Here is a 20,679-nt window from a genome sequence, read left to right on the forward strand (position 1 = left end):
TTAATAGCAGTAGTCCCTCTTCAGTTTTATTATGGGAGCTGTTCACTCCTGTTTTGGGCATTGATTTCCTCATCTTGCTATCATGGAGTTGAGTGGGGACAGCCCAATTCCTCATCATCAAACAATAGAAGTGCACTACTCCCTGAGATCACATCTATGTCTGTCACTATTAAGGGGTGTGATTGATAGCAGGCATTCTGAGGGTGTGTGTGGAAACCAAAGGAAGAAAATAAGAGCAAACTACTGACTCTAATAAATACATAATATATATTATCTGCTCTCTCTCTCTGTGTGTTTTCTGAATGTGTTACATCTAAGCTAAAAAAGTCTGGCTTTGGTCTCTGGTTTAAATTGGGGCTATGACCTCATTATCTGGGGTTGCAGGCTCCAAAATAAACCTTACTCCACAATTTAGTGAAATTCAAGAAACGATTATGTGTAAGAATCTCGGGAAGATCTCATTCTATTTCCACGTATTTCCACATCCAAAACAAACACAGTAATGCCTATGAACATCCCAGGTGTCCACCGGTGTGGGGGGATATTGGAAACTGAGAAGTTACTGTTGGCAGTTTCTATCAAGGCCAACTCTACTGAACTTGTCAGAAGAGGTTGAAAGATTTACCCAATTTAAATCCCCTTCACGGCCTTCTGGTCTACTGTTGTTTTCTGACCTACCACAGACCAAAACAGTCATTTCATTTGTCAAATTCATGTTTGGCTGTTGTGCAAGAAGAACCCGCATTATGCAGCAAAGATCTCCAGAAATGATTATAGCAAATCCCCTGTTATTGTTGGTTGTCTCTTGTTTTTGCTCAAAGCCTATCTCAAACTTCTTCCCTATCTTTCCTTTTAAGTTCTCACAGTGTCTTATCTAAAATAAAATGGGCTCTTCTGGGTTTGTGAAATAATACATGGGGGTTGGTTCAAATATTTTTTTTTTCTTAATGGAAGGAATAATCGTGGGATTCAACTCATTGCCAGGGATTATGCTAGAAACCTATTACATTGTAGGGGTCTCACTTTATCATCATGATAATGCTGAAAGAATTTTACCTCAGTGGAGAAACTGAGGTTCAGAGAAGTTATTTAACTTCATTAATATCACACAAATAGTGAACAGTGGAGATGGAATTAAAAACATTTCAGGGCTTAATCCAAATTCCACACATTGCATTACCCTGCCTTTTTTTTTCTTTTTTAAATACCTCCAGGAATTTTGTTTCCTAGTCACAACTCTGAGTTTTTCCACAGTGGAGAATATAGTCAGGGAAGAAGTTACAGTGGTAAACAGGAAGGAAGTACAGAGCACCCCCGTCTCTCCATAGGCTGGGAAGACATATTGGTGGGTCAGAAATTAAACAATATCTGCTCCTCATCAAAGAGAAGAGCTTTAGGATTGAATTAGAGAAAGCAGCCTGTAGACTTTCCTTTTAGAGTTGTAAAATTGAATGTTCTTTATCTTAAAAATAAAAAATCCATTCAATTACAGCACAGAAGGTAAAATTTCTTTCCAAGTGTACCCAGAGATTATTGAAAGAGGAGAATCCTCTTAAAATCATCACACTTTGGCATTTTGAACAAGCACCCTTGTTCACCATAGGCATGGTGCCCCAGGACTTCCTTTGGGAACATGAAGAGTCTCCCTTGAGTTTCAAGTTTGCTGCTGCCAAATCCGGGTCCCTCCTACCCAGAAAGGACCTCTCCCAGTTGGGATCGGTGTGGATGCTTCTTTGCCAAGAATTGCCAAGAGATTCGAATAGTTCCAGAATGTGGAATAATTGCAAATTAATTGCATTTAATTACACAAGGCTAGATCATCAAATATCTTCTAGGTAGTTTGTGCTTTCTTTTGGGTATCGATGTATAATTTAAAGCATAAATAATGCAAATTTCCCTTTTGGAAATATTAACTAGTGCAGTGTTCTACCTAATGGAGGTTATTATTTTAATGTTTGTGAAATTAAGTTTTCCTATCTAAATTGAAGTTGTAGGTAGCCAAATAATCATTCTTGCAGTAGTAGAAGGTATTTTTCCCTGAGGAATATGAACAAACAATGAGTACAGCTACAAGTTCTAAAATGTTCAGCATTATATATATATTATATAACATATATATGTTTATATGTTATATATATGTATATATATAAATATGTTTATATATATAAAGCAATACTTCTTCCTCCCACTGGAGAAGGGAACTAAACAAAATAATTGTCTAGACTTAAACCTCCTTTTCTCCAAGTCATTTTGATGTTTACTCTGTTTACAGACCAGTGCTTGAGAAGTGCCCTTCTCTATCAGGCTAGCCCAGGCTCAGTATGACTTACAAACAGTATAATTTGGGGTTTGCCAAATCCCCAAATCTATAAAGAGGATGGATCAGCTGAATAAATAGTATGGTTTAATGGAAGACTACGGGTTCTGTACCTCACTTGCCAATATTTGTTGAGGGGCCCTGGGCGGAAACCAGCATCTCCCTAAATCTCACATTATCCTTTTATAAAATTAGGGGATTGATCTACTTAATTTCTTTTTTTTTCTTTTCTTTTTTTCTTTTTCTTTTTCTTTTTTTTTTTGAGATGGAGTCTCGCACTGTTGGCTGGATCTCGGCTCACTGCAAGCTCGGCCTTCCGGGTTTATGCCATTCTCCTGCCTCAGCCTCCTGAGTAGCTGGGACTACAGGCGCCCACCACCACACCTGGCTAATTTTTTGTATTTTTAGCAGAGAAGGGGTTTCACTGCATTAGCCAGGATGATCTCGATCTCCTGACCTCAAGTGATCCGCCCGCCTCGGCCTCCCAAAGTGCTGGGATTACAGGCGTGAGCCACCGCGCCCGGCCAATTTCTAAGGCTCCATTAGGGCTAAGGTTCATGTATCCATGGTGAAGTATAGAAGAACTCAGAATCGTTCCAAACATAATGGGCTTGGAGTAATGGAGAACTCCAAGGGCAGGAGGTAACCATTAAAGAGGACCATCATGTAGTGTGAGGAGTCAACATTTCACACTAGAAAGCCCTTGGTTCAAGTTTTGTCTCTGCCACCTACAGATTTTGTAACCCTGAGTAAGTTACTCTACCTCCCTAAACCTCCAGTTCTGTGATAAATATAAAGCCCTTGGTGCACTTTTGAGGCAGAATGAGCTCTTATTAATTGCTAAATCTAAATAAAAATTAAAAAGAAAAACTGGCACATAGCTTATCCCAGGTGTTTGTCTTCTGAGGCCATCTTCTTGGGTCTGTTTATTCTTATATCCTCTTCTTCTCACTCTTCTTTCACTTTTTCTGCTAAACCTGTTAGATTTCTGATTTTTGTCCACAAAGCAGTGCCATGTATTTGCTAATTCTTCACAGTAGGACTATCTAAGTCCCAAATTAGCTCTATCTTGATAGTCTATGGACTTCAGAGCACGTCTCTCCTTGGAAATTAATAGGAACACTTGTTTATTATTATTGTCTTCAATCTGGTCTCCCCACTGCTTGTACCCATACTTTCCTGTCTATTCTACACACTGTAACCAGACGGTCATATCCCTGCATAGTGCAAATTCCTTAATAGCTTCCCCACTGATTTTATTTATTGATCAAGCCAAAATTCTTAACACAGCCCTGCTTATTACAGACCTTGCTAGTTTCATCAGACTGTATCTCTGCTTTCCTCAATGTGGGGTTTTCTCATGGCATCTTAAATATTAGCACCCTCCAAATACATTTTTGTTCACACTTAAAGCCCAACTCAAAAGCTTCTTCCTCCAGGAAGCACTCCTTGATCTCTATTCTGACTCCATTCATCTAAGACAAGATCATGCCTTCTTGGTAAATGTTCACATAAGAAGCCTACGCTGTCCAATTCTTTTTATTTTTAACAATCATTACAATTACAATTTAACAATTAGGTCTGGCACAGGCTCACACCTGTAATCCCGGCACTTTGCGAGGCTGAGGCGGACCGATTGCTTTGAGCTCAGGAGTTCGAGACCAGCCTGGGCAACATGGTAAAACCCTGTCTCTACAAAAATTAGCTGAGCGTTGGTGGCACACACCTGTAGTCCCAGCTACTTGGGAGGCTGAGGCTGGAGAATCACTCGAGCCCAAGAAGCAGAGGTTGCAGTGAGCAGAGATCACACCACTGCACTACAATCTGGGTGACAGAGTGAAACCCTGTCTCAGACAAACAAAAAAAAGAACAACTATCGGTACAACCCCTAAGTTGATGTTTATTCTCTCTTCCTCCCCATGTAAGCTTCAGGTCTAGGTTGTGACTGCCTTTTCCACTATTATATCCACACTGCACAATATAGTTAGTGCCTGGCACATAGTACTTGTTCAATAATATTTAATGAATAAATAACTGGCTCTTTGAATGACAACATACACATCTAAAATGAAGAAAGTTCATCCTGGAATTGTAAGAAGTGGAGTTAAATGCTCATAAATTATTTAAAAAGTTAGATATTTGACAGGAACAAAATGATCCTGAGATCCTGAGAGGCTCCAGGATGTACAATTGTTGAAATGTCACCTTTAAGTCATAGGTATTGATTTACAGTTTGCATTCTTGAGTACATAGGATTCTGTACTAGCAGGGGGAAAAATCAAATTTCTGCATCTCAGTGAAGGAGAAGTCTAAGTCACATTTGGTATCATCTGTCGGAAGGTTGTGGGGTGTGTGTGTGTGTGCGTGTGTGTATTTAAGGGTTTTACATTGGCATTCTTGGTGGTAAGAAGAAAAATGACTTAAGCCATATTTTTTTTCATCAGAGATTAGTTTCGCCTATTCAAAACTTCAGTTGAATGGGATCATACAGAGTACTGCTTCATATCTGGCTGCTTCTGTTCAGTATTTGAGGTGTATTCATGTTGTGGCATGTTTCATAGTTTATTACATGTTATTGTTGTATGGTATTCCATTGTATGTATATGTCACTAATTGTTTATTCATTTCCTTTTGATGGACATCTGAACTCTGTATAGTTATTTATTATTGTTGGTGAAGCTTCTGTAAATATTCTTGTACGAGTCTTTTTATGTACATATGCTTTCATCTCTTTTGGGTGCACAATAAAACTGGTATTGCTGGGTCCTGGTGTAGGCGTATGTTTACTTTTATGATATTGCTGGACTGGTTTCCAACTGATCCTACCATTTTGCACTCCTTCCAGGTCCACAGCAACATCTGGCGCTGTCAATCTCTTTTGTTTCAGCCATTCTAGTCAGTGCATGACACTATCTCATGGTTTTATTTATATTTTCCTGATGACTAATGTTGAACACTTTTTCGTGTGCCTTTGACCATTTGAGTATTTTTAAAATTAAGTTCTGGTTTGAGTTTCCTGTTCATTAAAGAAGCTGAGTCATTTATCTTTCAGATATTGAGGTTTAAGGGTTGTTTATACATTCATATATTTTGAGTATCAGTCTTTTTTTTTTTTTTTTTTTTTTTTTTTTGAGACAGTGTCTCATTCTGTTGCCCAGGCTGGAGTGCAGTGGCGTCATCTCAGCTCACTGCAACCTCCGCCTCCTGGGGTTAAGCGATTCTCCTGCCTCAGCCTCCCGATAGCTGAGATTACAGGTGCCCACCATCACGCCCAGCTAATTTTCTTATTTTTAGGAGAGATGGAGTTTCATGATGTTGGCCAGGCTGGCCTCAAACTCCTGACCTCAGGTGATCCACATGCCTAGGCCTCCCAAAGTGCTGGAATTACAGGCGTGAGCCACTACGCCTTGCCGAGTATCAGTCTTTTGACTATTTTCTCAACGTGTATGTCTTAATATGCACTTTATAATGTTGTATGTTGAAAGGTAGGTATGCTTAATTTTAATGAAGTCCATTTTTGCCATGTTATTTTTCCTTCATGGTAGGTACTTTTTGTCTCCTAAGAAACTTTTGATCACTTTAATGATGTGAAAAAATTCTCTGAGATTCAATATAGAAGATTTTTACTTTTATCTTTTACATTGAGGCCCATGGACCATCTGAAATTAATTTTTGAATATGGTGTGAGATATAAGTCAAGTTTCATCTATTTTATATATAGATAAATTCCTTCCCCAATAAATGGCTTTGGTCCATTGTTGAAAAATCTACTAACCATTTAAGTCTGGGTCTATTTCTGAATTTTCTATTCTGTTATATTGATATGTTTTTCCAATAAGTATTTTATATTCTGTGATATTACTTATATTTTTGTGTTATTGAAAAATTTTTAAAAATGTTATTTTAAGATTGATTTCTGTGAACATATGGAAACATAATTTATTTTTCTATATTGACTGTATCCTGTGACCTCAATGAATTTATTTATTCACTCTGGTAGCACTTTGTTACATTCTTTATGATTTTCTACATACAGGATGATGTCATCAGCTAATAAAGGTAGATCTACTTCTTCCTTCCTAATATATTTGGCTTTTATTTTTCTTGTCTTATGGCACTGTCTAGGACCTCCAGTAAAACGTTGAATAAAATTTATGAGGAAAGACATCTTTACCTTATTCCTGACCTTAGGGAAAAAGTACTTAATCTTTTATTTTAAGTAGAATGTTAGCTATAGTATTTTCCATAGATTCCTTTTATTAGATTGAGAACATTTCCTTCAACTCCTACTATGCTAAGAATTTCTGTCACTAACAGGTTTTACACATTGTTAAAGTGTGCATTCACTGTGATAATTATATAATTTTTCTCTTATATTCTGTTAATGTGGTGTATTGTATTTTCAAGTATTAAACCTACCTTACATTCTTAAAACAAATTGAACTTGATCATGATATATTATCCTCTTGGTTGCCAAAATACTGTCAAGTTCCATTTCCTGGTATTCTGTTAAAGGTTTTTGTTTTTCAACCTATGTTAATGAAGATTTTTTTTTTCTTATAATGTCTGTCTGGTTTTGCTATCAGGGTTATGTTGTCTTCATAAAATGAGGTAAAAATTTTTCCTTCTTCCTTTGTTTTCTGAAAGAATTTATGTAGGAGTAGCATTATTTCTTCCTTGCAAGCCTAATAAAATTTACCAGGGAAGCCATTTGAACCTGATTTTTTTTTGTGATAGGTGTTTATGAATTGAAATTCTTTAATAGATGTAGAATATTTGAAACTTCTATTTCTTCTTCTATCAGTTTTAATAATTTGTGTATTTTAAGAAATAGGTCTTGGTATTGGTATAAAGCTCTTTCAATATTCCTTTATTATCTTTTTAATGTTGGTAGTGTTTATAGTGTTTTCATTCTTTATATTGCTAGTAAATGATTACTCTTTTTTTCTTGACTAGTGGAATTAGGGGTTTATGAATTTTATTAATATTTTCAAGGAACCAATCTTTTGTTTCCTTGATTTTTATCTGTTGTTTATCCATTTTTTTCATTTATTTCCACTCTTTCTATTATTGCCTTTTTTCTGAATAGTTTAGGTATAATTTGCTATTATTTTTCTAGTTTCTTATAGTGGAAATTTAGGTCCACACTTTTAAATCTTTCTTTTATGTTAATAGAAATACCTAAAGCTATAAATTTCCTCCTATACTATGCTGCCATAAAAACAAATGAGATAATGTTTTTCGCAGCACCATAGATAGAGCTGGAGGCCATTCTGCTACGTGAACCAAAGCAGGAACAGAAACCAAACATGGCATGTTCTAACTTATAAGCCGGAGTTAAACATTGGGTACACATGGACGTAAAGACGGGAATAATAGCCACCAGCCCTACTTGAGGTTGGACAGTGGGAGGTGGGTGAGGATCAAACAACTACGCTTGTTTGGGTCCTACGCTTATTACCTGGGTGACAAATCACGTGTACACAAAACCCCTGTGACAGGCAGTTTATCTATAGAACAAACCTGCACATGTATACGTGAAACTAAAATAAAAGTTAAAAAAATTTATTTATACCACTGCTTTAGGCCAGGTGCGGTGGCTCATGCCTGTAATCCCAGCACTTTCAGAGGCCGAGGCGGGAGGATCACATGAGGTCAGGAATTCAAGACCAACCTGGACAACATGGTGAAACCCTCACTCTACTAAAAATACAAAAATTAGCCAGGTGTGGTGTGTGTGCCTGTAATCCCACCTACTCAGGAAGCTGAGGCAGGAGAATCACTTGAACCTGGGAGATGGAGGCTGGAGTGAGCCAAGATGGAGCCACTGCACTCCAGTCGGGGTGACAAGAGCGAGACTCCATCTCAAAACAAACAAACAATCAAACAAAAAACACTGCTTTAGTTGCATCCCACAAATTTTGATGGGTTGTGATCTCTTTTTGTTCAGTTCTAATTATTTTCTGATTTCCCTTATGTTTCTTTTTTGACCTATGCATTATTTTCAAGAGTGTTGTTTGATTTCAAGATATTTGTGGATTTTCCAGATTTTTTGGTAATTGACTTCTAGTTTAATTCCTTTGGCCACAGAAATACTCTGTAAGATTTTAATTATGAAAAATTCATTGAGACTTGTTTCGTGCCCCAACACACATACCTTGTATTAGAACTATTCCACGCCTACTTGAAAATACTATATATTTTGAAGTTGTTGGATACAGTGTTCTATAAATACTAAGTCAATTTCACTGATAGGCTAAACTGATTTTTCTGTCTACATGCCTTTATTAATCTTCATCTATAATCGTGAATTTGTTCATTTCTCACTCAGTGCTGTCATTTTTGCTTCAAGTATTTTGAAGCTCTGTCATTAGGAGCACACAGATTTAGGATTGTTATGTCTTCTTAGTAAACTGACCTATTGATTGACATAAAATACCTTTCTTCATGTTTGGAAAAATTTCTTGTCCTAGCATCTACTTAGTCTCACATCAATATAGCCACTCCAGCTTTCTTACAATTCCTAGCTGTAGGGCATATTATTTTTATTATTTTATATTTAACTTGCTTATGTCGTTATATATAAAATGTATCTTTAGTGAAAAAACATATAGTTGTGTCTTTCTTTTCCATCTAGTCTGTTAAATTTTATTTTTCATTTGGAGTGCTGAACCCATTTACATTCTGTGTAGAATTGGTATGCTTGGGTTTAAGCCTGCCACCTTGATATTTGTTTCTATTTGTTTCTTTCCTTCTCTTTTTTGTCATTCTTTGGATAAAATGAGTACTTTTTTCAGATTTTTTTTTAGTATTCTACCTTGTATTCTGTATTGGTTTATTATCTGTATCTCAGTGTTTTATTTATTAATTTCCATGTGTATGTATGTAGACATATGTACATACATATATGTGTATATATATATTTATTGAGGTTCCTCTCCTTATATTTGCAGTATACATGTATAATTTATCATTGCATACCTTCAAATACTATTACAAAACTTGATGTAAATGTAAGAACTTTAGCACAGTTTATTTTTGTTATCCCCTTCCACTATTTGTTATTATTGTTGTATGTTTTACTTCTAAATCTGTGATAATACTGAAATATATTGTTGTCAATTTTAAGCCTTAAATTACATTAAAAAATAATAAAAGTATTTTATTTATATCTACCTATAGAATTACACTGTTCATTCCTTTATTCATAACACAGTTCCTGTCTAATGTCACTTTCCTTCAGCCTGAAACATTTTCATTAATATTCTTAGAGTGCAGGCCTTCTGATGAAAAATTATCGGACTTTGCATTTGTCTGAAATTTTTGTTGTTGTCGTTTCTTTAATCGTTAATGAGTATTTTAACTGAATATGGAATTCTAGGTCGAAATTTTTTTTTCTTTCAGCCTTTTAATGACATCATTTTATTATGTTTTAGTTTGCATTTTTTTTTTACAAATACTTTGGATATTCTTATTGTTTTTCTTATATAGTGTGTATTTTCGGTTTTTTTTGTTTTTGTTTTTTTTTTTTTTTTTTTTTTTTTGAGACGGAGTCTCGCTCTTTCGCCCAGGCTGGAGTACAGTGGCACGATCTCGGCTCACTGCAAGCTCTGCCTCCTGGGTTCACGCCATTTTCCTGCCTCGGCCTCCCTAGTGGCTGGGACTACAGGCACCCGCCACCACGCCCGGCTAATTTTTGCATTTTTTAGTAGAGACGGAGTTTCATCTTGTTAGCCAGGATGGTCTCCATCTCCTGACCTCGTGATCCGCCCACCTCGGCCTCCCAAAGTGCTGGGATTATAGGCGTGAGCCACTGCGCCCGGCCCATTGTTTTAACTCTTCCTCTTCTGGTGCTTTTAAAATTTTCTTTGTATCATGGATTTTAGCAATTTGACTATGATGTGTCTTGGTTAGGGTGTGTGTGTGTGTGTGTGTGTGTGTGTATGTGTGTGTGTGTCTTTGGCTATCCTGCTTAAAGTTTAGTGAACGTTAAAAACTTTGAAAAACTTCCATCATTATTTTTCCATGTATTTTCTGCTCCAATCTCTTCTCTCCTACTGCTGCTTTAGTCACATGTATATTAGACTGCATGATACAGTCCCACAAGTCACTGAAAATTTGTTCCATTTTGTTTCCAGCTTTGTTTCCTATTGTCCTTATGTTGGATAGTTTGTATTGTTCTGTGTTAAAGTTTCTCATCATTTCTTCTGCAGTGTTCAGTCTGTTATTAAGCCATCTAGCAATTTAACTAGTGAAATTTAGATACCGTATTTTCAAATTCTAGATTTTTAGATACTGTATTTTCAAATTCTAGATACTGTATTTTCAAATTACAGAATTTCTATTTTTTTCTTATAGCCTCTATTTCTTCTCTTTCTCCTTCTCCTTCTTATTTTTGACAAGATCTCACTCTATCGCCCAGGCTGGAGTGCAGCGTCATGAGCTTGGCTCACAATACACTCAACCTCCTGGTTCATATGATCCTGCTTCAGCTTCCCAAGTGTCTGGGACCACAGGTCACAGGTGCACACCACTATGCCTGGCTAATTTATTTTTTTGTAGAGATGAGGTTTCACCATATTGTCCAGGTTGGTCTTGAACTCCTGGGCTCAAGCAATTCGTCCACCTCAGTCTCCCAAAGTGCTAGGATTACGGGTGTGAGCCATGGCGCCCGGCCTACTTCTTTCTTGAGATTCCTTATGTTTCCTCTACATTATTCTTTTCCTTTATACTTGTGAACATTGTGATTGCTAATTTTACGTGTCAATTTTTTTTGTTGTTTGTTTGTTTGTATTTTTTTGAGACGGAGTCTCACTCTGTTGCACAGGCTGGAGGTCAATGGTGTGATCTTGGCTCACTGCAACCTCCTCCTCCCAGGTTCAAGTGATTCTCCTGCCTCAGCCTCCTGATTAGCTGGGACGACAGGTGCATGCCACCACACCTGGCTAATTTTTTTGTATTTTTATTGGAGACAGGGTTTCACCATGTTGGCCAGGCTGGTCTTGAACTTCTGGCCTCAAGTGATCTGCCTGCCTCGGTCTCCCAAAGTGCTGGGATTACAGGCATGAGCCACCATGCATGGCCATGTCAATTTGACTCAGCCAAAGAATGCCCAGTTGGCTGGTAAAACATTTTTCTACGTGTCTCTCAGTGTATTTCTGGAAGATATTAGCATTTGAATCAGTCAACTGAATAAAGAAGATTGACATCATAATACAGTTGGGCATCGCTCAGTCTGTTGAGAGCCTGAGTAGAAAGTCGGAGGAAGGGTGAATTTGGTCTCTATTCCTGAGCTGGGACATCCATCTTCTCCTGCCCTTGGACACTGGACCTCCTGGTTCTTCATCCTTTGGACTCTGGCTGGGACACACTCTTGGTTCCCCTGGTTCTCAGGCCTTCAAGTTCGGACTGAAACTAGACCATCAGGCTTTCATGGGGTTCCAGCTTGCAGATGGCAGATTGTGGGGCTTCTCACCCTTCCTACTCACGTGAGCCAATCCATCATAATAAAACTCTACACTGTTGGTTCTGTTTCTCTGGAGAATCCTAAATACAAACATATTTATAGTGACTCTTTTAAATTCTTCTTTTGCTAATTTTATTATCTCTGTCATTTTGTTGGGGTCTGTTTCTGTGGACTGAATTTTCTCCTAGATATGGACCACATATTTTTGGTTCTTCAAATGTCTAGTAATTTTTGGTTGGATATTGGATTGTATGGATACTAAATTTTGAGTGTCTGAATTTCCTAATCATTCCTAATAAAATCTTAATAAAGTGTTGAATTTTGTCCTATTAGGCAGTTAACTTACTTTCAGGTCAGTGCAATCCTTTCAACCCTTCTTTTAAACTCCATTAGAGGTCTAGAATAACCTTGACTCTAGGGAAGCCCTTGTCAAATACTGTTGTCTTGTGGCCCTTCAAGTGCATTGTATTTATCTATGTTGAAAATATTATAAATTAGAACTGAAAATTGTAAATGTTTATTAAGTTATTTAAAATGGCAATTATAAACCCCATTACACATAAAAAATATGTTTTTATGAAAAGCAACTGTATCATCAAAAAATTAGTGAGATTAGTTGCAATGCAGAATCTGAAACCATATCAATAAACTTTTCATACTATGTCATGTTAAAATACATTGGTCTATCTTGAATCCAGAATAAATATCTAATGTATACATAATTTTGTAATGTCATGTTACAAAAACATCATGACCCCAAACTCTCATCTCAGTCTCCCCAGCTGAGCTAGATTGTACTGCTCTAGATCCTTCTCCCTAGTTTACATTACAAAAAAGTGTGTCCAGGTGGAAAGCCAATGGAATCCTGCACTGCTGCTTGCAACAGTGCTTGGAGATAATTATTTCATATATTTTTTGTCTACTGTTATAGTTGCTTATAGTGGGAGGGCTTCTCCCATCTTGTCCAGAGTCAATATATTTTTTAGTAAGAGATATGGATACCTATAGAGAAGTGAGAAAACCTTTCTTCCCACCTCTACCATGGGTTCTCTTCTTTCAAAAGAACAAATCCCTAGAATGCAGTACTCTACAGTTTACAAAAAGCCTTTTGTAATTATTCTCTTATTCTGTTTGTATCACGTGGTTTCCATTTTGAGCTTTAGAGTGCAGTGGCGGGCTGAGGTCACAGAGCTAGGTCAGACCTGGAAAATGGAGTGGGGTAAGCTAGTTGTGTTTCACTGCTCAAGAATAGATCTTTCCTATGCTCTCACCAAAATAAGTTTGTAGGTCAGCCTTCTTTATAAACAGCTGAATAGGGAAGGAAGGGCAAGGTTGACAAGAATCGATCGAGCTCTGCCCCTGAGCCAGTTGCCGTGCTGGGCCCACTGATACAGAGATCAAGAAGATAAATATGAGCAGGATCTCAGGTTGCTGGAGCACTGGTGAAATAATTTTGATTCATATAGATTTATTTGCTCAATCGACACATTTGTGTTTGGACTACAGAACCGTTTCCTCATCAGTAAAATGGACATTAATAATCTCTCATTCCAGTGAGATGCTGGGGCTGGCTTGTGCTGGAATATGAGAGCTGATTGTTAAAATTTTCAGAAAATGTTCAGGCCAATTATTAAGCACTGTCATAATTAAGGATTACATTATACAAATTTATCATTAAATCAATCACATTAAAACAAAGGTAATAAATCCTCAAGACTTAAAACTTTCTAACTATTTTACATGTACCTATATTCTTTGGTTTATTTACATCTATTATATCTGTATAGTAGAAATATTATGTAATAGGGAGCTGCTGTGCATCTTTTCTTGCCTCCATGTTCAGTAATGCCAGGTTAGTAGCTTGACATCAGTGCTGATGGAAATATTTACACCATGGAAATAGGCAAATCAGGGCTTCATTGCTATTTTGATTCTCTAGACTTAAGTAAGTGTTAGAAATGATGTTAATGATGCAAATTAACCATAAAATTGTGTAGTGTCTGCAACTATTACTTTAAGAATATAGTATTTCAAATAACAACTTGAGCAAATATTATTTCAGTATTTCATCGCTATTATCTAAGCTAGCAAAGAATTCACTCATGTCATTAATAAGTAAGTGAAGTTCCAGCATTTCACATTTCACTTTCATCTTACTCACTAATGAAAACAAAATTATCAACAAATATTTATGCTGGAATTATCCTCACTTGTCCTTTGCAACCACAGTTTGGCTATAGATATAATTATTTGACCAAAAAACAACAAAATATTCCTTAAGAATCGAGGGGCTATACGGAATTTACAAAAAGGAGTATTGAATATTTCATTATTATTTGTAAGGGGGCTTTGTGTCCTTTATATCAACAACAGTTACAATAAATGTATGTATGCAAATATATGCATTTACTGTCTCCCTCTCTTCCCCCAAGAACCAGTTGTTAAACATTTACCAGCACACCGCTGCCTAACTCATATCATTGTTAAGATTAGACTAAGAGCGCCTTCAGAATGCTTATCTTTGCAGGCAGCTATGCTAAACTGAGGATTACCATTAGCTAATGTTCCAGGTCTTGACTTATAGGAGAAAAGGAAAATCCTACGGAGGAGGGGCTCTGATGGCTTTGAAGAAGGCAGTGAATGGCCACATGTTCCCTGAGGACAGCACAGGCTAAAGGCTCAGCTAGAAGAAAGGCACAGAGATAGCAAGGTCAGCTTGGAAATGGTTCTCCCCCCAGGTTGGACAGAATGAAGGTGGGAGAAAAAGTAGGGAAAGTTAGATTGAAATAATTATTTCAATATCCTTAAATTCCAAATTGCAGAGTTTATACTTGCATCAGCAGGTGGTGGGGAGCCACTGAAGGTCTTTGAGCTGTGTTTTGTGACAGTTAATATGGCAGTCTGGGTAAGATGGGTTGAAGAAGAAAGAAACTGGAGTTAGGAGAAGATTGTTAGAAGAATCCAGAAGGAAACGAGCGACATGAGCCCAACTAAGTTAGTGGTCATCACAACAGAAAGGATGTTAGTAATAGAAGAAATATTTCCAGGGTAGAATGAACAGCCCTTAGAAAAATAATCATACTTATTTTTATTATTTTTATTTTTTTAATTTTTAGTGTTTTTTTTTTTTGTAGAGGTTTGAGTATGTGGGGAGGTGTCAGCGGATCAGAAAAGTATGAAATAAAGAGACTGAGGAAGAGCTCTGGAATATTTATGCCAAGCCCCCACTCCCCCACTTCTTTCATTTGCAGGATTTTGGGTTACTGGAGATGTTTTTTGTCAAGCGAATACTTACTTATTTTAATTAATGTACATTTTATTTACGATTTACTTTTTCATTTATTTACTATTTTCTTTCTAGGGGCTTGTTAGTTTAAAAAAAATAAGGTTTTTTTTTTTTTTTCTTAAACTAGAAATATTTAAAGAATGCTCTCTGTTTGTCTTTCAGTGCATTCTGGCAAGGTGACTTTAGGCCATAAAGACTTGTGTGTTTGGGTCATGTCCCACCACAGGGCTTTCGGGCTTTGACTTGTTTATTTGGAATATGGAGGAGACATTGTAGAGACCATTTAATTCTCAGGAGCTATTAGAAAGCAGCCAAATCCATTTTAAGGAAAAAAATTATATACTTAAAAAAAAAGATTTCTTTTTAGAGACTGTAAGTCATTAGAATATTCAAGAAATTTTAGAAGTTCGTTTATGGGCAAAATGTCCTAAAGGGAACATTCCCATAGGCTGTACATAGACCACAGACTCACCCCCACAGATGGTAAATTGACATTGCAGCTAAGCTAGTCAAAGAGAGGACATATCTCTTCTTTTACAGGTTTACAAGATTAAGTTATTTTCAGCAATATTTTCTTGCGTGTGATTACAAAAGACATGACTTCATGTTGTCAAATAATTTAAACAATACACACGTAGACATTATAATACAGGCATTTGAGGACAAATTATAGTGTCAAGATACCTGGGTTTCCATCTCTGCAACTTTCTTGTTCTGTGGCCCTGGGCACACAATTTCTCCAAGCTTTTTTCCTTACAGTAACATAAGAAAGGAAACACAAATTAACTCACAGGATTGTGATCATTAAGTGAGAGGATATATGTAAACTCATGCAAGCTTTTCCAACACACCTTATTTTGTTGTTGTTGTCGTTGTTGTTCTGTTTTGTTTTGTTTTCGGCTTTTAGCAGCCTGAAGCCACGGATTTTAGTTTCTGTCTCTAGCAATAAATGGAAAAGTGGGATGGGTCAGCAGTAAAAAAAAAAAAAAAAAAAAAGCCAAGCTATCCAATTCCAATTTGGAAATTCACAAAATATATGAATAAACATTTCACTGAAGAGGGTGTACAGATGGCAAATAAACACATTAAAAGATGTTGAACATCAGTGGCCCTTAGGTAAGTAAAAATTAAAACCACAGTGAAATATCATTACACACCTATCAGAATGGCTAAGATTAAAAATAGTGACAACACCAAAAGGTAGTGAGCATGCAGAGAAACTGGATCACTGACACATTTCTGGTGGGAATGTAACGCGGCCATGCCATTCTGAAAAGCAGTCTGGCAATTTCTTATACAATTAACTATGTAATTGTCATATGACCGCACCATTATTCTCTGGGATATTTATCCCAGAAAAATGAAAATATATGTTTACACAAAAACCTAACGTGGATATTCAAAACAACTGCATTCAAAAGAGCCCCAAACCAGAAGTAACCCAGATGTTCTTCAGCAAGTGAATGGTTAAATAAACTGTGGTACATCCATAGTATGGAGTACTACTCAGCAATAAAAAGATATGAGCTATGGATACACGCAACGACTTGGATGAATCCAGATAATGATGCTAAGTGAAAACGTAGTCAATTCTGAAATAATACATACTCTACAATTCCATTGATATAGAATTCTTAAAGTGAGAAAATTATAGAAACAGAACACAGATTAATGGTTGCCAGGGGTTAGGGATGGGTCAGGGAGGAGGGTTAAAAAAAGGCACCCAAGGCATGCTTGTGGTGATGGAACTCTTCCCTACCTTGACCATGGTGCTGGATGCTGGAACCTACCTGTAAGACAAAATTGCATAAAACAAATGAGCGAAACAAGGCATATCTGAGAATCAATGAATTGTATCAATGTCGATATCCTGGTTGTGATTTGACCCTATAATTTTGCAAGATGTTACCATTGGGGAAAACGAGGTAAAGTCTACATGGAATCTCTTTGCATTATTTCTTACAACTGCTTTTGAATGTACAGTTTTCTCACAATAAAAAAAGTCTTTAATTTAAAAAAGTAATATTGTAAGTTCTTAACAAAACAAAACTGAATGGGTTAACCAAGGGTTTGACTCATTTTAACTAACTGCACTATTTGTTTATTTAGGCAATCACTAGCCAAGCACTGATTGGCCAAATTCCACCTCCTTTCTTATGAATGAGTCCAGTGAGTTGCTCAGGGGCAACGCAGCCTAAATGTAGGCGATAGAAATGCTATGTGAGGAAATGGGGTTAAAGGTCTGGGCCAGAGTTGTCCACTCAGCAAGTTTATTTATTAGGGACCTCTTTGTACGTCCATTGGGAATGGTAATGAAGATTTAGTCTTATAGTACCTTCCTCGAGAACATCACTCTGGGTTTTGGATGGCCTTTACAAGAATAGTCAAGACTTGAGCAACTCACATCTGCTTGGGAAATTCAAGCTTATTATCTCTAACTGGGGAGGCAGTAATGACTGTCATGGAAGAAGGAGACCTCAATTTAAGCAAACAGCTGTCTTTCGTTGACTACAGGAGGGTAAACAGGGCTCAAGTTGGCCCTTAGTGAACTGATCTATGGAAACATAGCTTAAACAGATTCTCTCATTGAGCACAGTGAGGAAAACACTCCTTGGCAGTTTCTAACCCTGCACAGGTAATGCACGGAGGCAAAGAAACTCTTTTTGTTTTGCTGGGGCCAGGCAAGATAAAGGGGCCCCATGCGTTAGTACCCTGCATTTTAGCCCTTTCCCAGGGGCTGCCTGTGCATTGCTGCTCTCTCTTTTTAGGAAAGCTATTTGGAGCCCTATCCTGGCAGGGTTTGTGGTTTGTCCAGAGGAATCCCCTCTATCCTGTTCTTACCCAATTATCTGCTACTCAACTGGTGGACCCTCCAGTCAATTTCCCTTGGCACTGTGGGGTGGCTTAGTATTAAAATTCCACAGATTTTTCTCCTGCTCTTTGCAGTGGGGAGGACTCGACTGCAGCACTGTAGGGCTGTGCGAGCTTGCTCACTGGCGACAGTCAGCTGTGATTTTCCATCAGCTGCATCTCATTATCCCATCAAGGCTCCCTCCTGCCTATCGATGAGAAACACTGTGTAATCACTCCCAACTGACTGCAAATCACTCTGCACTCCTGTGTGAACCTTGGCCCATGACCACATGGCTCAGCCCGCCAAATGGTCCCTGGGCTGGGTCTGTGGACCCAGCACTGCTTTCATGGAGGGGGCTCCAGGAGCTTATATCACAAAGGCCATGCTTTCTTCTTGGGATGGAGTGGGAGAGAGGGGGCTGTGTTAAAGAGGGGCATTGGCTAGTCACAAAGCCCAGAGAACTACAGGGTCAGATTCAGAATAGCTATCTCATGGAACTAGTTTTCAAGATGGAGAAAGGGCCATGCCTTTTCCTTTTATGGAGTCTAGAATCAACCAGTTGTTGGTGGTATAGACTTGATTTTTTCCAACAGAAACAGTAAAGCATATTGGTTATAGAACTGAGACACTGAAGGCACACAGATCCAATTCAAGTCCTGATTCTGATAGTTACTGCCTATCTGACATTGGACCAGTTACTTAATCTGTCTGAGCCTTGGCTTTCCTATATCTGTAAAATGGGAAAAATATCAGTACCAAGCATTTAGAGATGTTTTAATGATTAAATGAGATAATAAATGCAAAATCTTTAGGACCCACTGAATGCCAATTGTTGATATGAGTAATACAATTTAAAATTGTGGAAGACACTTGTTACCTAGTAACAGATACCAGCACCCATTCTGTATCCTCTTTCTACCTAAAGTATTGGGGAAACAATAAAGATTCAAAGGCTCTTAGGGCCCCAGTTGTCTGTTGATGCTTTCAAGGGAAGAGTGGCTAGGTCTTTGGGGAAGTTCCTGTAATGAACAATCAATGCCTGGACAAAAGTCCTCTTGAGTAGTGAAGTCATTAGTGAAGACAACGGCACAGGAAAGTCATGATAATGTATGCATTATCATACAAGTCACGCAGTGTAGACAGTAAGTTGTGTGTATTGTTGGAGCAGATTCAGTGCTCAGTGTTTAAGCTATTTCTTGGATAGGTGGCTTTGTTTCTCATTTTCTATTTATCTTTATCATAACAAGGGAGAATTTTCTTTGGGGCTCTAATCTCCTGAAATGTTTGTACTTCTCCTGATAAGCCCTTTGATTTTGCCAGTTGGATGCTGCAAATCTTGGGATTGGCCATGCTTTCCTCTTTGTTTTGACTTCAGGGAAGTTCAGAGCCAGATCTCACTGAGCAAACATGGGTCACACCATGGTATATTTTGCATTTTTACCTCTTACCTGGTGCATGCTGGCTTTGCTGGTCATGGTCCAAATGTTTTTGTTTTGTGTTTGGTTGTGGTGCCGGTGGGGGAAATGCAGAATGCATGGATGCCTGTGGCTCCAGGTTTCCCCACATCATGGTACCGAGTACAAATGGCTTGACACTTAATACAAGAAAATTCCAGAAGATATCAGCCAGTCAAGAAGAAAAACTCAACTTTTCCATTTAGCAGTTCCCTCCCTGGGAAGTTACTCCTCTTCCAGACCTTTATTTATTATTACTATTTTTTTTTTACCAATGTGCTTTTCATTTGGCATATTTGTGAACAGTTAGGTTTTATTCCTTTAACTGCAGTTGCAATAGGTATTAGTTATAAGCTTTAAAAATATTTGTCATATTATGAAATCTTTAAAGTATATAGAAAAATGCAGACAATGATATAACTTAGCCAGTGCATTCATCACTCAACTTTGTTAAAATGTTTTTCTCTGCCATATTCACATTCATTTTTTTCCTAAATGATTCATTATTACAGACAGTTGAAATCCACTGAATTTCTCATTCTGTTTTTCTCAGTCTCTTCTCAGAAGCAACTACCCTGAATTTGCTGATTATTAATCTAATTCATAATTTTATACTTTTACTAAATATAGAAATACCCATAAACAACATAATAGTGTTGTTTTTATATTTGAAATTTTACATAACCAACAACTTCCTATAGTCTTCTTTTTCTATGTACTATTATGTTTGGCAGATCAATTCATTTTGATAGGTATATATTTCTAGTTGATTTATCTGCTTAGGAGTATTTCACTGCATAAATATGCAATTAATGTATCTATTCTCCTATTGATGCACGTCTACAGGGCTTTCCATTTTTGGCTATTATGAACATCTTAGGTTATAGCACTACACATTCCAGTACCTGCACATCATACATATGTACAAAGCTTTCTCCAGGGCATATTCCTGGGAGTTGCTGGGTCTCAGTTATGCCTATCTTTAATTTTGCTAGATTTTGCAAAACTACTCTCCCAAATGATTTTAAAAATTTACACACTGAACAAGAAAGTATGAGAATTTTCTTTGTTCTGCATTCTTGCCAACACTTGGTATTGTTAGACTTTTCAATTCTAAACTATCTTATGTGTGTGGAATGGTATCTTAGTGTTGATTTTCTTTGTTATTAGTGAGACTGGTCATCTTTTCACTCACGCATTAGTCTTTTGGGTTTTCTGTTCTAACACTTGTCCATTCATAAATTTTGCTCATTTTATTATTGCCTTCTTTGCATTTCTTTATTAGTTGTAAGATATTCCGTA

The 20,679-nt window shown here is 37.2% G+C and overlaps 1 long non-coding RNA gene across 1 annotated transcript in view; it reads left to right on the forward strand.

Annotated features, from left to right (window-relative positions):
* Positions 1-2,818: 2,818 nt before the first annotated feature.
* The window catches only part of LOC105371356 (uncharacterized), a 49,125-nt gene continuing 31,264 nt past the window's right edge, over positions 2,819-20,679 (forward strand). The window contains exons 1-2 of the long non-coding RNA XR_001752268.2: positions 2,819-3,066; positions 14,368-14,493. This is a non-coding gene — a long non-coding RNA (uncharacterized LOC105371356). The remainder of the gene's footprint in view (positions 3,067-14,367; positions 14,494-20,679) is intronic.

The sequence above is a fragment of the Homo sapiens genome, chromosome 16 (genome assembly GCF_000001405.40).
Source record: "Homo sapiens chromosome 16, GRCh38.p14 Primary Assembly".
NCBI classification, from domain to species: domain Eukaryota; kingdom Metazoa; phylum Chordata; class Mammalia; order Primates; family Hominidae; genus Homo; species Homo sapiens.